Source organism: Homo sapiens, chromosome 14, assembly GCF_000001405.40.
Source record: "Homo sapiens chromosome 14, GRCh38.p14 Primary Assembly".
Taxonomy (NCBI): domain Eukaryota; kingdom Metazoa; phylum Chordata; class Mammalia; order Primates; family Hominidae; genus Homo; species Homo sapiens.
The window spans coordinates 61330544-61349343 of record NC_000014.9 but is presented as its reverse complement, the minus strand read 5'-3'; the positions used below and the strand labels follow the sequence as shown (position 1 = coordinate 61349343).

The 18800-nt window shown below is 42.3% G+C and overlaps 1 protein-coding gene across 6 annotated transcripts in view, besides 2 other annotated features; it reads right to left on the bottom strand.

The window, feature by feature from the left end:
• Positions 1-18800, bottom strand: part of PRKCH (protein kinase C eta) — a 363509-nt gene that overhangs the window by 201633 nt on the left and 143076 nt on the right. The window contains exon 1 of one of the 6 annotated variants that reach the window (XM_024449662.2): positions 5217-5235. The exons of the other annotated variants lie outside the window; for them this stretch is intronic. The gene's annotated coding sequence lies outside the window, so the exon portion shown is untranslated. Of the gene's footprint in view, positions 1-5216; positions 5236-18800 lie in introns of those variants that run through there. 6 annotated transcript variants of the gene reach the window in all.
• Positions 6566-6695: a silencer, noted in NCBI's record as "silent region_5819". NCBI's record gives its function as "represses an Ori minimal core promoter by ATAC-STARR-seq in GM12878 lymphoblastoid cells {active_cell/tissue: GM12878}" and the evidence as "EXISTENCE:reporter gene assay evidence [ECO:0000049][PMID:35858748]".
• Positions 7255-7314: an enhancer, noted in NCBI's record as "active region_8487". NCBI's record gives its function as "activates an Ori minimal core promoter by ATAC-STARR-seq in GM12878 lymphoblastoid cells {active_cell/tissue: GM12878}" and the evidence as "EXISTENCE:reporter gene assay evidence [ECO:0000049][PMID:35858748]".

Below are 18800 nucleotides of genomic sequence, written 5' to 3'. Positions count from 1 at the left end.
GATAAACTGGAATAACAAATGTTAAGGATTGGTACATAGTAGGTACTCAATAAATGTGAGGTAGGGAGCATAAGATAGTGGAAGATCTGTCATCAAGTCCAAGACATGCCCCTAAAGTGATCTCAACTGAAATGGAAACAATGATCTACTTGCTTCCAAGAATTACTATGTGAGGGGCAAAGCAGAAAATGCATACAAAAGGAAACAAGATAAACACATGAACCCTGGAAAGGGATAAACAAATAAACATCTACTTAGAGGTCTCAAGTGCATACTTTTAAGAGCATAAACGGATAGCCATCATCATTTTATCAAATTCTCTGGATGATTCCATTTAACTCGAATCCCTTCTCCAGCAGGGAACACTTCTGTGTCATTCAGGCAACAAACACTGACAAGTACAACAAATACTAAGAGAGTGCTTCCTGTGTGCCAAGTGCTGTGCTGGAAGCAGAGGCTGCTGGTGGGCTGCAGATCTTGCCCTCATGGTGCTTACAGTCTAGGAGGGTGACTCACTGATTATAAATATGTGCAAGTGCCGCAAGGCAGAGTGCCAGTGGCTACGAAGGCATAAAATAGTGGGGGTGGAAAGATGGAGGGAGACCTTAACTGAGCCTGGAGGACTCCTAATAAAGGTGATATTAACAAATGGCTACCCATAGTGGCTTTTGGTGACTGTGACAGGAGAGAAGGAAGCGGAACAGGTCACAGAAATTACATACCAAGGTGGGTGTAAACCCAGCTCAGCATGGCTAACTAAAATTAAGAATGCAAGTAATAAAAGTTCTGCCATTCACTGCACCCAATAAAGAACTGAAGAAGCTTCCCTCCATCTAAACACAGTCTAAACAGAAAAGTGGCTTATTTCATCCCAGCCCAAGCATCAGAGGTGGAGGCAAAGCTTCTGTTTCCCCAAGCAAACTTTGTCAGTTTTGCCAGACCACCTGTTTTTCCAGACACCACACACGGTTCAAATGGCTCATGGTTTTCATCCACGAGCTTTTTCCTTCTATTCATTCAAAATCCACTTCATGGCCACACACCCCCAGAGCATTTTAAAACTGGGTGCACCACTGACGACTCATGTGGAACATATGGGCAATCAGTCCTCTCTCTGGCCCCCTGCTCTCTGGCTGTGACAGACCACAGGGAGCAACACCCTCCCCGGAAAACACCAACTGTACTCATCTGTCTGGAGTTTGTACATTTGGGAAGTTGTACAAAGAGACCGGTGCTGATAAAACTGGAAGGCTGACCATCAAATAAATAGATCTAAACCCTTACCAGAAAGAAGGAAGGAAAGGAACCGGGGCATTCCTCTGTGGGTTTCCACAGCTCTCTTGGCACCCAGAAGAATCAGCTTGGAGAAACCAGTGAGATACTCTCCTCCCTGGGCCTATTAACTTCCTCTCCTCACCCCACTGCCTCCGCCAAGCTTGTTAAAGTGCTATTTAATTCCGTTCCCTGAAAACTCTGGGTCTTCTCTTCCTTCCTATTTTGGCAAAGGTGGTTGCATCCTCCCTCACTGACCGAATGAAGTCAATGCTCATGGTGTAAAACAGTTTTAATGTGTGACACCTCACATCTGCCAATACAAATTATTAATGAGGTTCATTACTAGTTATATTAGGCTTTAGTGTGTAAAAAAGAGAGAGGCATCATTAGCCAAATTCTGATGAAAAGGACCCAGCAGCTCCAAGGGGCCTACATTAAGTGTCTTGTCTCACACAGCCTCTACTTAATACGGGCCACTACTTAGGAGTAATTGAATCAAAGCTAGAACACAAACCTCCACAAAATTGGGATTAGGAAATAAACTACAGATGTTCCAATTGCCTTAGGCCCAGAAACACCACAGTTAAGCCCAGCAAGGCAGGAGTTACTCCAACTGACCACACCTGGGTATGGGTACCAATGCCCAGAGAAAGCAGATGAAGGCAGGTAAAGGAGGAACGAAAGCATGAATAGACCTGCAGTGACACTGTCCATGGAGACTTGAAGATAATCAGAAAAAAATTATCAGCACATCCAAACTGCTTTAAACTGCAATACCTCAACCCCACAACTCCAGGGAAAACAATTAAATAAAAATTAATTGCATTTTAAAAAAGTAATTCAATCAATATTCCCTCCTTTAGCTTGGCACAAACCAAACCACCTTAAATAAGCAGAGTTATGACAGTCTCTCCTGAATTTTCACTTCACAGTTTTAGGAATATCTATTCTGGATTTCTTTCCCCACCAGTCCCCACCCGTCAACTTGCAATTTCAAAGGGACTCAAAGAAACAACTGAATCACCGGTGAACAGATTACAAAGCAAGGGGCAGCAGACAAGCCAAAGTAAACATACGGTAAAATTCCTAAGCCATTCCTAAACAATGCTTGTGAGGACATCAACATCATTAGCTAATGAGGGAATGAAAAGATGGATGTGAAAAACTATAATGCTTTGGAAAAATAACTCCTTTAAATGTTCATTACTATAATGGCTGTTTGGTTGAAGTCCAGGACTGCAGGTCGACTTTAAATCAAGTCCACATTAAACAGAATGGGCTCGCAAAACACAGGCAGAAAGATGTGAAGCATTTGCCCATGCTTGCTTTGATCATGGAAGCTTTATTCCTTTACAGAATTCTGCATTAACACCATAGTACACACATACATGAAAATCTGTGTGCCCTAGAAGTGTTTATGTATCTGTTTCCCCTATAAGACAAGCTCCTTGAGGGCAGGGAAACTATCTTTTTATTTCTGCACATCCCATGTGTTGCATAACCCCAGACACGTAATAATTGCTCCAATGAAATGTTAAACTTATTGGCAAAATAACAGTTAATTTTGAAAAAATCAAAAGGGAAAATAAGACCATTGGTGTAGGCCACAGCCTTAAGAACTGGGAAATGACACACTATCTCAAGTTACTGTTTGCAGAACGTACAACATGATGCAGCATGCTTGTGCTGATAAATTCAGTTGTGACTTTACCTAGGAATTCACTGTTAGGAGTAAAGAGGATAAAATCAAAGGTATTATAGAAATGGATAGTGTAGCCAGCACAATGTTTAAGGGGAGATATATCCAAAAGGAGATCAATCAAATTTGTATTATGTGATCATTTGATACCTCATTCATTAAATTGCTAAAAAAAAATTGGTGCCACCCTGACAAGCTTTCTTGAACAAGGGAGGCATGTCCATTTGGGGAGCTGTCATCTGCTGCAGATGCACACACAACACATGTAAAGTGTCCCTGCTACCCAGGGCCCTATCAACTCTTAAACCTTTAATCATTTCTCTACCACTTTACATCAGAATTAAAAGGCATATAGCCTTAAAAGGCAAATACCCAGAGTCCATCTGAAAAATTTTTACTTTTCTTCATATCAACCACCTGAGGCAGGTGTAATGCAGCTTAGTGGTTCCATGCAGGTGCTCAAACTCTAGCTCCACAACTTTAAAAAAAAAAAAAGAGAGACAGGGTCTTGCTATGTTGTCCAGGCTGGTCTCAAACTCCTGGGCTCAAGCAATCCTCCTGCCTTGGCCTCCCAAAGTGCTGGGCCACCGTGCCCAGCCTTCACCACTTATTTGGGGCAAGTATCTTAACCTCTCTGAGCCTCAGTTGCCTCCCAAAGAGGAGGATAATAAGAGAATCTGAATATCTTGAAGGTATTCTGAGGATTAAATTAGTTAATGCACATGAAATACTTAGCCTGACACCTAATTAATCCTTATTGTGTATCTCCTATTATTGTATATTATCCCACTTGCTACTCTATTCATCACTCCTCTGCTCGCCTTCCCTGCTCCAACACTGCAGCAGAATTTAAGAGAGAAGGAACAAGTTAATGCACAGTTCACAGCTATTTCAGCCATCATGAAATTACTGCTGTGGCTGTCAGCCTTGCCTCCATATACAAATGTTGAAAGTTAAAGCCTCTGGATGGAGAAAAAATACAATTTTGTGGTAGTTGTTTTGTTTTCTATTGCTGCATAACAACGTATACTCTTTTCACTTGAAGTCTAAAACCTACATAGTCTGGAAAACTAAGTACGTTTATAACCATGAAGAGGCTGACAAAAGACTTCACAACAATCTATTCTTTCTACCCTCAAAGGGACCACAGTGACAGAAGATCCTGGTAAGACACTGTCCTCCCAGAAAGTGCTTGCTAGAAAAGGGTTTGAGAAGGGAGAGCCATTTATATGTAAATATCTTAGACTTGTTACCCCTAAAAATAGTGGAAAGAGGGAAATAATTTGTTAAGAAATATACCAGAAAAGGGAACTGAGGGTGAATGAGTATACAGCCTAGTACTGTGACAGGAACAGAAAGAAGCCCTCTTGGCCAGCCTAATGATAAGGTCATTCTCCCAAAGTAGAAACTGGAAAACTAGCATGTGAAGCAGGGCACGCTCAAGACTAGCCTCAATCAATCAACTGGGGGGTTCAGGGTGGCCACCGGGCTAAAAATAAATAAATCTTTTGTTCCAGATGACCTTTAAGGTTCTTCAAGCTTTAAGGGGCTAGCAATCTGGATCTGGTGAAAACAGGTCACATAGGCAGGCGGGAGGAACTTCTAGAAATAGCACACAAACAGCCATCACCCAAGCAAAGATCAGCAGGGTCAGGATTCATCAGTGCAAGGGACCACTCTGCCACTCTCAGTCACAGGCAACCCCGCTGACTACAGACCCAAGTGTCACCCGAGGCGTACCTGCAGCTGCTGGATTGATCGTCCCACAGCTGGCTCCAGAGGCCTTAAAAGAACAGGTCTGGTCACAAGGCAACCATCCAGCACTCTCCACTACCTTGCTTGTGGCTCTTTTCCTCTCAAGTAAGTTACTGAGACACATTAGGCACTTCATTCAACAAATCACAAAAAAAGATTAAATTTTGCCCCCCAAATCCCTGTTTGCAGCTGCCATACCTGGCACTCAACAGTTTATTTTCATGGAAACACCTGGCACACAATGGAACCCCCCAGCCTGCCTCCGTTCGTACCACAGGACACTTCTGTACTAGTGTGGCTGGGAAATGCCAGTCACTGTCTAACTTAACTCCTCACCCTACTTCCTCAGTGGTGCCAGGCATTTTACATTTATTTTCCTTTCTTCTTACGCATCCAGTAAGCAGCAACTCTGGCGGCAGAAGTGCATATGACATCAGAATTCTCAGAGCTAAGGGAACTTGCAGAGATCATTGGACTCATCACTGACCTGAAACCATGCTAAACCTCTTCTTTCCCAAGCACACAAGCAAGCTGTGTCCCTCAAATGACAAGCTCCATGGTGTTCTGATGATATACTGATATCATTTCAGTATGATGAGGGAGATTACTGGAAGTTTCACCATCGAGGAAGTCATCGTCCAAAAGAGCCACCATTATAAAATACAGGCCTTGTGCAGCATAAACATGAAATTCTGGAGGCACAGAGCTGAAGAACTGACTGTCAGGATCCCGGACCAGGGAAAAGGCAAAGAAGTCAGGCTGTACTTCCACATAGAAGATTCAAACCTGGAAAACATTTGTTCTAAATAATCCAGATCCATTTCCTGGTGCCAAATGTAATTCCTCATTTCAGTCTAACAAAGTTATGGACAAAACTCTTCTGAAATGTCTTTGTACTTAAAATTTTTAAGCCAATTTTACTCTTTCACAGTGTGTCACAGGATGTTGTGCAATCAATTATTACTCAAAATATTACTTGATTACAAAAAGGCCAGGTCTTGCATTGGCACATTAGATATATATTTTTTATGTTTAAAAGTGCTACATAAAAAAAAATCTATCATCGTGCCCTGCATTCTCTAGTCCTGGTTCTATCACAGCTCCAGAACAACTGGAAATATCACCAATGAAGTTGAAGACCCTCATTTCCTTAGAGTCCAGTCCTTTTATAGTTCCATAAGAGAAATCATCAGCCTCAACATGTAAGTCTTTTCTATCCAGTCTAGTGTCTGTTTTTCCTTTTTTTTTTTTTTTTTTTTTTTTGAGGGAACTGGTCATTATTTCTCTAAAGGGACATTCTTTAGGAAAATCTCTTCCTTGGGTTATAACTATTTCAGATTCATTAATTTCTTAACTGAAGTTACATTAAGCCCATTCTCCAGACAGGACACTAGCCTCCAAGCCAGTCCTTTGATTTATCAGTTCCAAAACTAGATGACTCAGGCAACTGCTATACTGGAAACGCCAATCAGGCCTTGAAAGTCAAGTCCAGTTAAGTAGCGATTATATTCCAGCCCACCCTGTCAGCAGTCAGATAAAAGTAAAGGCAAGAAGTCTGTGTGAGACGAATTGGTAAAACCACCTCTTTCAGAACAATATCGGATCCATGGAGAAACTGAAAGAGACAGAACTGCCTTCTCCAGAGATGACACTTCCTTGGCTATCTTGAGAATGAGGCGACACAGTTCTCAAACCCTAACAGCAGCTTCTACATGGCATTGTCTAATGTTAGCCGGTAGAGAGAAACACTAAGGGCAATCTTTTTGGCTGCTGGTCTTCAACAGATCATTTAAGACACCCCACTGTCATTTCTCATGTGGTAGTCAGTGAGCCTGGTTTTAAGATACCAAGGTAGACCAGAACACACTGGAAAATTTGCAGCAAGAGATGTTAAGATCTGTTGCATTTTCAGTGAGGGCTGAAACACCTCCGCCCTGTGGGTTCTGCTGCATAGCCACAACAGTGACACTGGCAAAGGGCAGAGTTCCTGTGGAAACACTTACAGTGCAAACCCGCTGGTGGAAATGGGTCTCTGAAAAAACAAAGGCTTCACACCCATAGAACATAGTGATGAAGCCCAGTGGAATGGCAGGTTTAAGCCGACAATTCAGTGTCCGAACCAAGTCAATCATTAGCTTCACATATATGCAGATAAAAATCCATAATTAATTAAAGGATAAAGCCTACAGAGATGACATATTCTAGGATTTTTCAAATCTTTAAGCAGCTGCTCACTGACTAACTCACAATCCAAGGCACCTCTCCAAGCCTTTTCTGCAGCCAGGAAAAGACAAACCAAGATAATCTACATTTATATGAGTTAGGTTGATCATATTATATGCTAATAAATGAGTTAGCTCCACCTTCACCATCTTCTGCTTGAATTTAATTAGTAGTTGAGGCTTTAAAAGGGCGCTCCCTTCCCCTCCAAATGAGTTTGGCACTCCTGTTCAGAACACAGAGTTGGCCACGTAGGAAAGGCTCTGCCCTTCCCATGAGACAGCCCAGTTACACTGCAGAGGCTGGTCACCAGGCTTAGGACCTCACAAGGTCAGCCCCATGCAAGTCTCAACTGTCACAACTATCTTCACCACCTTCAGGGGGAGGAGGAGAACCCTTTCTCATGCCTCACCTCAAGGCATCCAATTCAACCAACATTTACTCAGCACCTACCAGGGGCCATGCACTGGCAATACAACGGGAACCAAGACAAAGCCTCTGAACTCATGAAGAAAGTTCCTACCAATGGGATAAATCTGGCACAGTTTGCTTTTAAAAAGCACTTAAGCATTGTTAGTCCAGTGTAAAATGACCTGTACAGGTAAAATTCCATGGGAAAAATACAAATCCCAAAGAGGAAAAAGGAGAAAAGGAATTTACACTACCTTCGACCTGGTTACTACTGACTTTCCCTGAAGACAGAACTTGTGCATCACCTCCTCCAAGAAGTCCTCCCTGAATACTCAGGCTCACAATCCCCTACTATCCCGTACCCATTCCTATTCCTAAACTCAACTACCCTATGATGAAACTGTGGGTTTCTGCTGCCTCCCTCACTACAGGGAGAGCTCCTTGAGCTTTTCACCCCCAGCATCTACTGTGGTCTCTGGCCACAGCAGGTGCTCAGTGAATGCTGTGAACTGTGCTGACATGTGCATGTGGCATGCTCAGGCCTGTTTATGGATGTCTTTGTAGTTACATGGAGAGTGACATATTTTTTCTATGTAACTTATTCAACCCTATCTTTTCTAATGTTATACAAGTCCTTCTGTACAAATTACAAAGGAGTATCTTCCTTCCTCCTCCAACATTTATTGTAAATAAGGTGAATTAGACATGAGCAGAGGCAAGAAAACCTAGTCTGTCCATTAGTACTTAGCTCATAAACTGGAAGGCAAGGAGAGGTGGAAGATGGAATGGGGAAGGCAGGGCCAGCCGATTGGGAACCCTCCCCAGGAGCCTGAACTTTATAGGGCACAGGAAGCCTTTAAACGACTTCTGGCAGGAGGGAGGTTAGGGCTGAGTTTTAGACAGCTCATCCAGGCAGTTTATGGAGGATGGATTTGAGGGAATACAACTAGATTCATGGAAACCAGTTCCAAGGCCATCACAATAATCCATATGTATGATACAAACGAGTGTGGTAATTGTGGGGAAAAGAAGAAATTGAGTCAGAAAGTATTTACCAAGCCAATCTGGCATGACTTGGCAATCAACTGAGGTGGGGAAAGAGGTAAAGGAGAAAGAAAAGTCTAGAATGGTGGCCAGGTGACTGAACAACGGCAAGACCAGTTCTGACCGGGAAAATGGGAGGAGGAGCAGGTCAAGGGGAAAGATGGGATATTTAATTGTGGACATGTTGACTTGGAGATGCCTAAAGGATGTCCAAGCAGGTCTGTCCAGCAAGCATATCAGACATGGGACCCTGGACCTGATATCGGGCCTGTCTAAGCCACAGTTTCCTCGGGTGAGAAATGCAGGTGCCACAGCACTCCTCCTCTCTCACAGTCTACTGTGAGGATTAAAGGAGACGGAGTATAAAGTGGTTTGTCCTAAGCCTGCCCCAGTTCCAGAAGCAATAGTTGGGCTCAGGGGGGAAGACAAGAGACAGAGCTTTGGAAGTCCTTGGCATATGGGCAATATTGTTGAGACTTAAAAGTTGACGAGACCATGCGCCATGACAAAGAAAAGAAGGTAAAGACAAACCACCTCCCACCCACCCCCGCCCCCCACCCCGCCCCCTCCCACCTGGGGAACACCAATATTTACTAGGTTGAGGGATGAGGAAAGATACAAAAAGAAACTTAAAAACACATCAGTAAGCATTGGAAAAACACAGAAACAGGGGAGCAATGAATCTGAAGAAGGTAGCAGCCAACAAGACAAAGAAGAACTGACCTGACTACACTGTCACTCCTGGGCTTCGCCAGCGCAGTCTCCTGGGGATGGGCACCGGGAAGAAAAATGAACAGGGCAGGGAAGGGCATCTGCAGACAGCTGTCAGGGAAGAGGCTGAGAAGGGAAAGGAAAACACTGTGCCCCACCTCAAAAGGATAGTGGGCAAGGCCAACAGAGGACTGAAAGGCTGAGTGCTCAGAAAGATTTGGGTATGTTTTTAAAATGAAGGTTTCGCCAGGCACAGTGGCTCACTCCTATAATCCCAGCACTTTGGGAGGCCAAGTCAAGAGGATCGCTTGAGCCCCGCACTTGGAGACCAGCCTGGGCAACCTAGAGGACCTTTCTGTCTCTATGAAAAATTAAAAAATTAGCTGGGGGCATGGTGGCGCATGCCTGTAATCCCAGCTGCTCAGGAGGCTGGGGTAAGAGGATGGCTTGAGCCTAGGAGTTAAGGTAGCAGTGAGCTGAGATTGCGCCACTGCACTCTGGCCTGGATGACAGAGTGAGACCCAGGCTGGAGTGCAGTACAGTGGTGCAATCTCAGCTCACTGCAACCTTAACTTTAATTATAAAAAAAAAAAAAAAAAAAAAAAAGGCCGGGCTTGGTGGCTCACGCCTGTAATCCCAGCACTTTGGGAGGCCGAGGCAGGTGGATCATGAGGTCAGGAGATCGAGACCATCCTGGCTAACAAGGTGAAACCCCGTCTCTACTAAAAATACAAAAAATTAGCCGGGCGTGGTGGTGGGCGCCTGTAGTCCCAGCTACTCGGGAGGCTGAGGCAGGAGAATGGCGTGAACCCGGGAGGCAAAGCTTGCAGTGAGCTGAGATTGCGCCACTGCGCTCCAGCCTGGGCGACAGAGTGAGACTCCGTCTCGGAAAAAAAAAAAAAAAGTTACAATTAAATGAAGGTGTCAGGAGGACAGGAGAGGATGAAAACACAGAAGGGAAGGCCTGGCCCAGGGAGAACACAGAGGGGACCCAGGCAGAGCAGGTGGAGGGCTAAGCCTGAACAGGAGGCCAGCTCATCCCAAGACTCAGACCTTTCTAAACAATGGCCCAAGCAGAAGAAAAGTAAGGGAACCTACTTAAGTCTAGGGGATGGAGGAGTAGGTGATAGGTGAGGGGCTTAAAAGGGAAAGTGGTGGGGAGGCCTCATTATCATCTCTTCCAATTCTCTCAGACAGTTTCTTCCTTTTAACGTAAGTATCATTCAGGCAGAGAGCTGTCACTATGTAATTTGACTTCAAAATATTAATGGCAATAATATTAATGGGAACAGTCATTTAATATCTTGACAGGCACAATTTTTCAGAATCATGATTTTTCCTATTTTAAAATAAAATTCTACATATACAAGTTTGGTCCTATAGGACCAAATGACAACAGAAGGAGTCAACACCCATCAGAAACAGTTCAGAGAGAAAAATGCATATTGGAGTTCTAATGAGGCAACTTCAGGAGTCACTTATTTTGCCAGAAAAGGACAGTTTAAGGAAAATGAGTTTAAATGGCAACTTAAACTCAAGGTCACTTCAAGGTCACAGTTGTACCTAGATCTTGTTTATGCCCCCTGTTGGTGTCCTGTTCTTATCAAGCGCAGGCTGTCATTAATACATTCCTGACATAGTGTGTGCTGGATGATGGTTTCAGTCTCGCTTTTTCCCATTTTGAAATCCATCTCTTACCACCCAAACAAAAGTTAACATTTTGTTTGAGGAACCTAGGATTCAGCTAATCTTTTCACACACCTTTAATACTTATTTAAGTAATCAAGGGAATAAAAACCATACTGGTATATTCATTCTCTCTAAACTACTCCTGAGGCAGCTCTTAAACTCACACACACCAAAAAAAAGTAAATCTGTACCTGAATATGAATTTTTCAAGCGAAAACCTTTTAGCAAAAGTGTTTGAATCATGACTCAGACTCAAGACAGAGAATGGTAAGGAATGATAAGGAATTTTTCCTTTCTACAAACATTTCCTGAATCCCAAACATGTGCAGGGTACTTTACTAAGTGGTGGGGGAGGCTGGGGGTCCCTAATGTTCATGCAGATGGCAGTACTTCAGGGCTGAAAGCAGATCAGTGGCCAAGGTGAGGGCAGACACCCACAAACACATTCTCATTCACTCCAGACATTTGCAACAGCAGCGCCCCAGCAAATCAATACAACCACAACCCAGGTACAGGATGTGCATGACAAGAAGGCGAGGAGGCCCGGCAAGGAGACTCAAAAACAATATATTCTTGGCACAACCAAAGAGCTAACAAAGGCTTCTGAACAACCAAAACCAAGGCTACGCTAAACATCAAGTGCAAACACTGTTGTGCCGTACTATGAAGCAAAGGAAATTACTGTTCTGAAATATTGTATATATACAGTTCAGAAACCTTTCACTTAAAATCAACTGTGAAAGATCTAGGTCCCAGAACAAGTGTCCAGTAAACAAATAAAAGTAGAAATGATCACCTTCAAATGAGTCCCCAGGTGGGGCATGGTGGCTCATGCCTGTAATCCCAGCACTTTGGGAGGCCATGAAGGGTGGCATCACTCGAAGTCAGGAATTAGAGAGCAGCCTGGGCAACATAGTGAGACCCTACCTCTATAAGAAAAAAGGTTTTCTAATTAGCCAACCACGGTGGTGCACGACTGTAGTCCCAGCTACTCAGGTGGCTGAGGCAAGAGGATCAGTTGAGCCCAGGAGGTCAAGGTTACAGTGAGTTAAGATTGTATGTACCACTGCACTCCAGACTGGGCAACAGAGTAAGATCCTATCTCTGTAAAATAAAATTTTTTGTTTAATTGAGTCCACATAGGAAAAAAAGTACTTCATATTTTCTGCAAGCCAAATCAAATGTTCAGCCTAAGCAACATGGCAAGACCCTGTCTCTACATTAAAAAATTAGCTGAGCTTGGTGGCGCACGCCTATGGTCCCAGTTACTCAGAAGACTGAGGCAGGAGGATCACTTGAGCCCAGGAGGTTGAGACTGCAGTGAGTCATGTTCACACCACTACATTCCAGCCTGGGGGACACAGTGAGACCCTGTCTCAAAAAAAAAAAAAAAAAAAAATTGTTGGTGTCCTTGAATACATCTATAAATCCATATTCAAACGATGTACTTTTTTTTTTTTTTTTTTTTTTTTGAGACAGACTGTCACTTCGTAACCCAGGCTGGAGTCCACAATCTCGACTCACTGCAACCTCCACCTCGCCTCCTGGGTTCAAGCAATTCTCATGCCTCAGCCTCCCAAGTAGCTGGAATTACAGGTGCGTACCACCAAGCCCAGCTAATTTTTGTATTTTTAGTAGAGACAGAGTTTCACCATGCTGGCTAGGTTGGTCTCGAACTCCAGACCTCAAGCAATCTGCCCACCTCAGCCCCCCATAGTGCTGGAATTACAGGCATGAGCCACCACACCTGGCCCTAATGACGTACTTTTAAAACTAGAGTTTTCCTCCTTGAAAGCATGACAGAACAATTCACATCCACCAACTTGTATTGGATATTCAAACTAACCAAGGAAAATATATTTTAATGCCAATTGAAAGAGCCTGTTTACCATTATTTCCCTTAATTACAGCAATAAAAGTACTCACTTCAGCTTTTCAAAGGCCTCTTTCTGTCCTTTGCAGCTAAATATTGCAACTTGATTTATTTCTGGTTTGTTGGTTCTCACTAACTCAGACCCTCTGCTGTCCAATATTGAATAAGCAAACCAACAAACTTAATTTCAAGGTTTCCATGAACCAACTTTAGCCAACATTGTAACTATAATAATTCCAGCTTCATTTTCCCATATTCCTTACAAGAACTTCCAGAGAGGACCTATGTACAGAATTTACCCCCAATCCCTGTGATTCCGGGATAAGGAAGCCATCTTCTCTTCCACCAGTAACTAGAAATCTCCTACTGATTTACATTCCAGAATCCTACATTAAAAGCAAAACCAGTGAGGAAGTTGTACTCAAAAATCCCTTCTCTTGAATTCTATGTAAATAAATATCTTACTGCTTTCAAAGTTAACTTCAGAAAAGGGCTGGGCCCATCACTTCATATTGAAGTGCTGAGGGTAGAGTGGTGGTAATGAAAGTGACATCAACAATCATTTTTCTGCGGTAGTATATGTCATGCCCTGTGTAGATGGTTTACATAAGTCCTCACTGTGTTCTGAAGTAACCCTGTGAGGCAGGTACTGTGTTGTGGATGAGAGAACAGGCTTGCAGGGGTTAAATTATCCCTGCTAATGAGAGGCAGAATGAATAGCTGAACCCCAATCTGGCTGACACCCAACCATCACACTATGATGCACTGATAATTATGGTAGTTGTCCAATAAATACTCCTCAAAGCCTGTATTTGTGTATCATTAGTCCATAATTATAGATTCTGCATCCTAATTCATGTGACTTAGGCAAATGTTAATGTGTCTTCTTTAAACAGACCAAATAAATGTTGAAGGGATGGTCAGAAATATTCAGGGAGATGCCAAAATAGGCATTATCTAAAACTATTCAAAATAGGCAAAATTATCCAGAGTTAGTTCACAAAATTATAATCCAAAAAGTAAATGAGCTTTCAGAATTAAGCAAGAATCAATTATATCTAGTTTTGGCAGATGGGGGGGTTGTGGTTTTTTTTATTTTTATTTTTTACAATGGCTGAGGTTTTATTTCCTTTATGATTACTGTTAGTATGTTTATTAATTCTCAGCCATAAATGTATAGTTTTGTAACAAATAAAAACAAGTTGGGGCCCTATCAGTTATACCACTACAATGCAATTATCCTGTCCATCTAAATTATTGAAACTTTCCATTAATATTTATGAGTCCATAGAAAACAAATACACTTTTCAGAAACTGAAAAATACGGAATAAACTTCAGAGTCTTTGTTTCCTTTCCCCATCCTCTCTTTAGAAAACATGTTACTGAAGGGGGTAGAGATAACTAGATGCTTCTATGATGTCATTTGAGGGCGCCAACAAGACTATACCCTACCCCACCCCTAAGAAACTTTCATACCACCACCCTCTTTTCTAAGAGGCAACCCTGTGGGTGTCTATCCTCAGCCAGTACGATTCTTTTCAGAAGGCCCTTGTCAAAAATATTCATTTCCTCAGGAAATTAAAAGCAACCAAAGCTTTGCCTGCCAAGATTACAAAAAATAAATAAATAAATAATTTTGTTAAAGATTAAAATAAAAAAAGCAACCAGGCTAGGAGTGGCGGCTCTTGCCTATAATCCCAGCATTTTGGGAGGCTGAAGCAAGATAACCTGAGCCCAGGAGTTCAAGACCAGCCTGGGTAACATGGCGAGCCCATATCTAAAAAAATTAAATAAATTAATTAATTAATTTAAAAAGCACCCAAAGCTAGCATTTCTCCAGTGCCTATCTTGTGCTGGGCATGTTTAATGTAGTTCATCTAATCTTCACACCAAGCCTATAAGGTAGCAAACATTAGCACCATTTTCCAAAAGAAAAAACTAATCATCAGAGATGGAGGGACTTGCTCATCGTTCACACTCCTAGGAAGCAACAGATCTGGGACAATGCCCCGAGCTTTCTGACACCAAGCCGACTCTCTTTCTGCCACCCTCCACTGTTTTTCCACCTGCCAAGCTTGTTCTCACGGTAGGGCCTTTGTTGCCTCTGCTTGGAATGCTCTTTCTCTAATCTTCACAGGGCTGTGTGCTTCTTGTCAGTCAGGCCTCAGCTGAATTGTCACCCGCTCTGTGCAGCAAGTCTGCTGCACAGTGCTTTACCTGTCCTTCGCAGACAGTGACCACTCCAGATAAAGCAGCCACCTTGTCACACTGAATCAAGTCACCCTGCTTTGATTCTCTACTTGGTACCTACCCAGCATTTGTCATTTTCTTCATCGTGCGTTTGCCTGCTTGTTATCCACCTCCCTGTGCTAGGGCGGCAGTGCTGGAGAGCCGAGATGCTGGGTCTTGCGTTCTCTGCCCTACCTGTAACACCTAGAACAGGCTCAGGCACAAGGTAGATACTTAATAAACACCTATGAATGACTGACTGGATGGCTACCCTGCTGCCTCCACCACACACTGAGGTGGAGTCGGGAAAGAATCTTGGCCTGAAGTCTAGAGAGCTGGATTCTCACTTTACCTTTAGCTAGGGGGCTGCTCTGTGGACAGTCTCCATTCAGCTCAGTTTCCACCAACATCGGGTTGTCTGTAAGATGCTGACTGAGTGAACTGGAATTCCAGAGAGGACCAAAAAATCTGCTGGGTCACGGGGACCCAGACCATGGGAGACTGGGGCTCAAAGGGTAAGAGGATCAGGCAGGCCTCACCAATCTCATCATTTTGTCTTAGACTAACACAGCAGAACACCATAATGCCCACTGCAGCTCAAAAAGAGGGTGAATGTTTTAAGAAAAAGCGTATGAAAAAGATGAATCCTATTTCTTTTTACAAGGGAAAAGTTTATATTAACAAAAGATACCAAGCCAGGGTCACTCAAACTGTCCTAGTTTTGTTTTTTTAAGTTTTCATCTACTGCAAACCTCAAACAAACTCTTTAAAAAAATAGAGGCTTTTGAAAACACCTAAATAACACAACCAAATAGGTCCTAAAATGGGTCATCATCTAGTATATTTCACCAGAAGCCATAAGTGAGAACACATTTTTAAGAACATCTTTTTCTCTAAAATTTATAGCTCCTAGCTCCTGTTTTCTACTAAGTAACTATTTTCTATAATTAATTGAAGTGAAAATGTCCTCAAATACAAAGGAAAACACTGGAACCACACCCTGAATGTTAGGAATTAATAAAAGCCTTATTTTTGAACCCTTTCAACTGAGGTTTCTCAACCTGAGGTCCTGTGTCCTTAAGGTTTAGGAAAGGCTTTAGGAGGGCTACTAATCAGATGACATTGTTCCCAGAATATCATCAATATGCACATATGTGCATTTTTCCAGAAACAGCTCCATAGCTCTCATCATCTCTAAAAGGGTCTAGGGCTCGACAACAGTTTCAAAAGCACTGATTTAGATGGAATCTGCTCTCAACTCTTCTGTACCATAATTAAACAACAGTAATCTATATTAAAGCATCTAAGAGGCCCACAGCTTGCAAATAAATAAATGTATTCTGTTTATGGAATTAGGCTAATACACGTATGACTTTTGGGTGCGCTTCCCAAAATAATTTCAGAGCCCAGAACAAATCTGAGTATCAGAAGTCTCCTGAATATATTTCAGAAGGGAGCAGAATTTCCATTGTCCAACGGAACCATTACCAGAACCACAAAACTCTGACACCGGAAGGACCACAGAGCTCAAGGGGCCCAGCCCTCCAACATCACAGACGCAAAAACCAAAGTCCATTGTAAGGAAAGAGTGTATCATATTTAAGGGCTTGCGACACGAGAGGTGGAGAGACAGAGCTATGCTAGTACAAGGGACAGATGTGACTTACGAATAAATATGCAGCTTTGCGGTTTTTGTCTAAGTGCATGGAGAACAGAGGCTAGGTCTGAAATTGGAAATACAGGACGAGGTATAGAATATGCTCACTCTGGCCTATATGACTTATTAATGCAATTATGACAGGGATCATGTTGACCATGGTTTTATGCTCTGGCAAATTTCTTAATTTTTTACCACAAGCACAAACTAAACATCTTTGGTAACTTTTAAGCATTTATCTCCCTGTGAGGTCAAAGGCGTGCAAGGGTAAAACTTATACGCAATCAAAGGAACTTTTGGGAAGGCAGTACATAATAAAAGCACTGCTGGTAAGCTTCCTATTAAGTGGGCTTTCTACTACAAAAGTCCTATGTGCTTTGACAGATACTGCTCTAATTTACTGGTGCTACAGAAGCACACTAACATAATAATCTTGATAAATATCTCCAGATAGGACCATGATTCTCAACAAAAATTTCCTGTCTCATAAAATTCTTTAACACAGCACTTAAACACTACCATAGTCAATACCCTTGGGCTCATTCCTCCCTCTAATTAAAATGTCTGTCCTACAGTGATTTGTAGTATTTGTCATCACCCTGGGTGGATACATAGACTGGTAGCTACAGATACTTTGGGACAATAATGCTGTAATTGCCAAACTAGTGAGAATGGCTTCTAGCAAAACAGTGGGATTCTCAGTCTCTCTCTGACTTGCCGTAACAGGGACATAACTTACAACCATCCCATAGAACAAGGAGTGCGTTAGCATAAATCAAGAAATACAACTGCATGGCTTGAAATGTATTGCCTTAAGGCTGATTCTAAACCAAGAAAATAATACCAACATCACTAGCGATGCTATACAAGTCACTTAGATGGGAGCTAAATCCTCTCCAACTCTAAGCAATTTAGATTTGGACCAATTTAATTCTTAGGAGTTACTAACTTTGATAACACATAATTCATTTTGACAGTTTAAACCAAACCAATTACTCCAAAAGGGAAGAAATTATGTGATTGCCTAACACATGGAAGCAGAGGCTTTAGAGATATAAAAGTCTTTGGAGACCGTTTAGTGCAGCCCCCTCACAATATAACGGGGAAATGGGACCCAGATAAGCAGACGCTTGCCTAAGGTCACAGCTTGAACCCAGTTCTCCTGACACCCATTAAAGTACAGTGTTCCCCTATTGCTGGGAGTTGTATAACGAAATAAAAAGAGGGGTTTTTTTGTTGTTGTTGTTGTTTCTTTTTTTGAGACAAAGTCTCACTCTGTTGCCCAGGCTGAGGAGCAGCAGCTCGATCATAGCTCTCACTGCAGCCTTGAACTCCTAGGCTCAAGCAATCCTCCTGCCTCAGCCTCCCCAGTACACGGGACTACAGGTGCACACCACCATACCAGCCTGGCAGAGTTTGCTTTCTTTTTAAATTGGATAGTTAATATAATACTAATTTGCAGTAAAAGTTAACTCCCCATATATTTACTAGTAAGCTAGCTTTCTCTGAAATACTAGGACACAAATCTTTATGTAAGTAAAAATCTAAGTAAATATATATCTAAACTAATGCATTTTATAAATTAATAAATTATTACATATCTAAATAAATCTAAGTAAGTATATCTGTATTTTTGTAGATATAGATTAGATAGATATTAATACATATTAAATGTATGTATATTACACTTCTCATGAGTTAGGGCAAGCTTGTTCAACCCACAGCCCATAGGCTGCATGCAGCTCAGGACAGCTTTGAATGCAGCCCAACACAGATTCGTAAACTTTCTTAAAACATTATGAGATTTTTTTGAGGATTTTTTTTGAGCTCATCAGCTATCGTTAGTGTTAGCGTATTTTATGTGTGACCCAAAACAATTCTTCTTCCAACGTGGCCCAGGGAAGCCAAAAGATTGGACACCCCTGTTAGGGCAACAGTAATGATTTGGCTGGAACTTTGGTTCCCACATTCAGAAAACAAAGGCTTGAGCTATAGTGTCACAAAATTTAAAATGTCCCAGGTCCAAGCAAGTAATGAGTCAAGAGAGTTGGTTTCATAACAGGGAGTGGAGGGGTCTGTGGCAAACTGGAGCACCACAGCACTAAATGCCTTCAGTTTCAATGTTAAAAACATCTGTGCCAAATGAATAGACCTACAGGCTGTCTGCAGGCCTAAGAGCTATCAGGCTTTTTGTTGTTGTTCTGAATTAGATGATCATCCTGCTTCAACATCTATG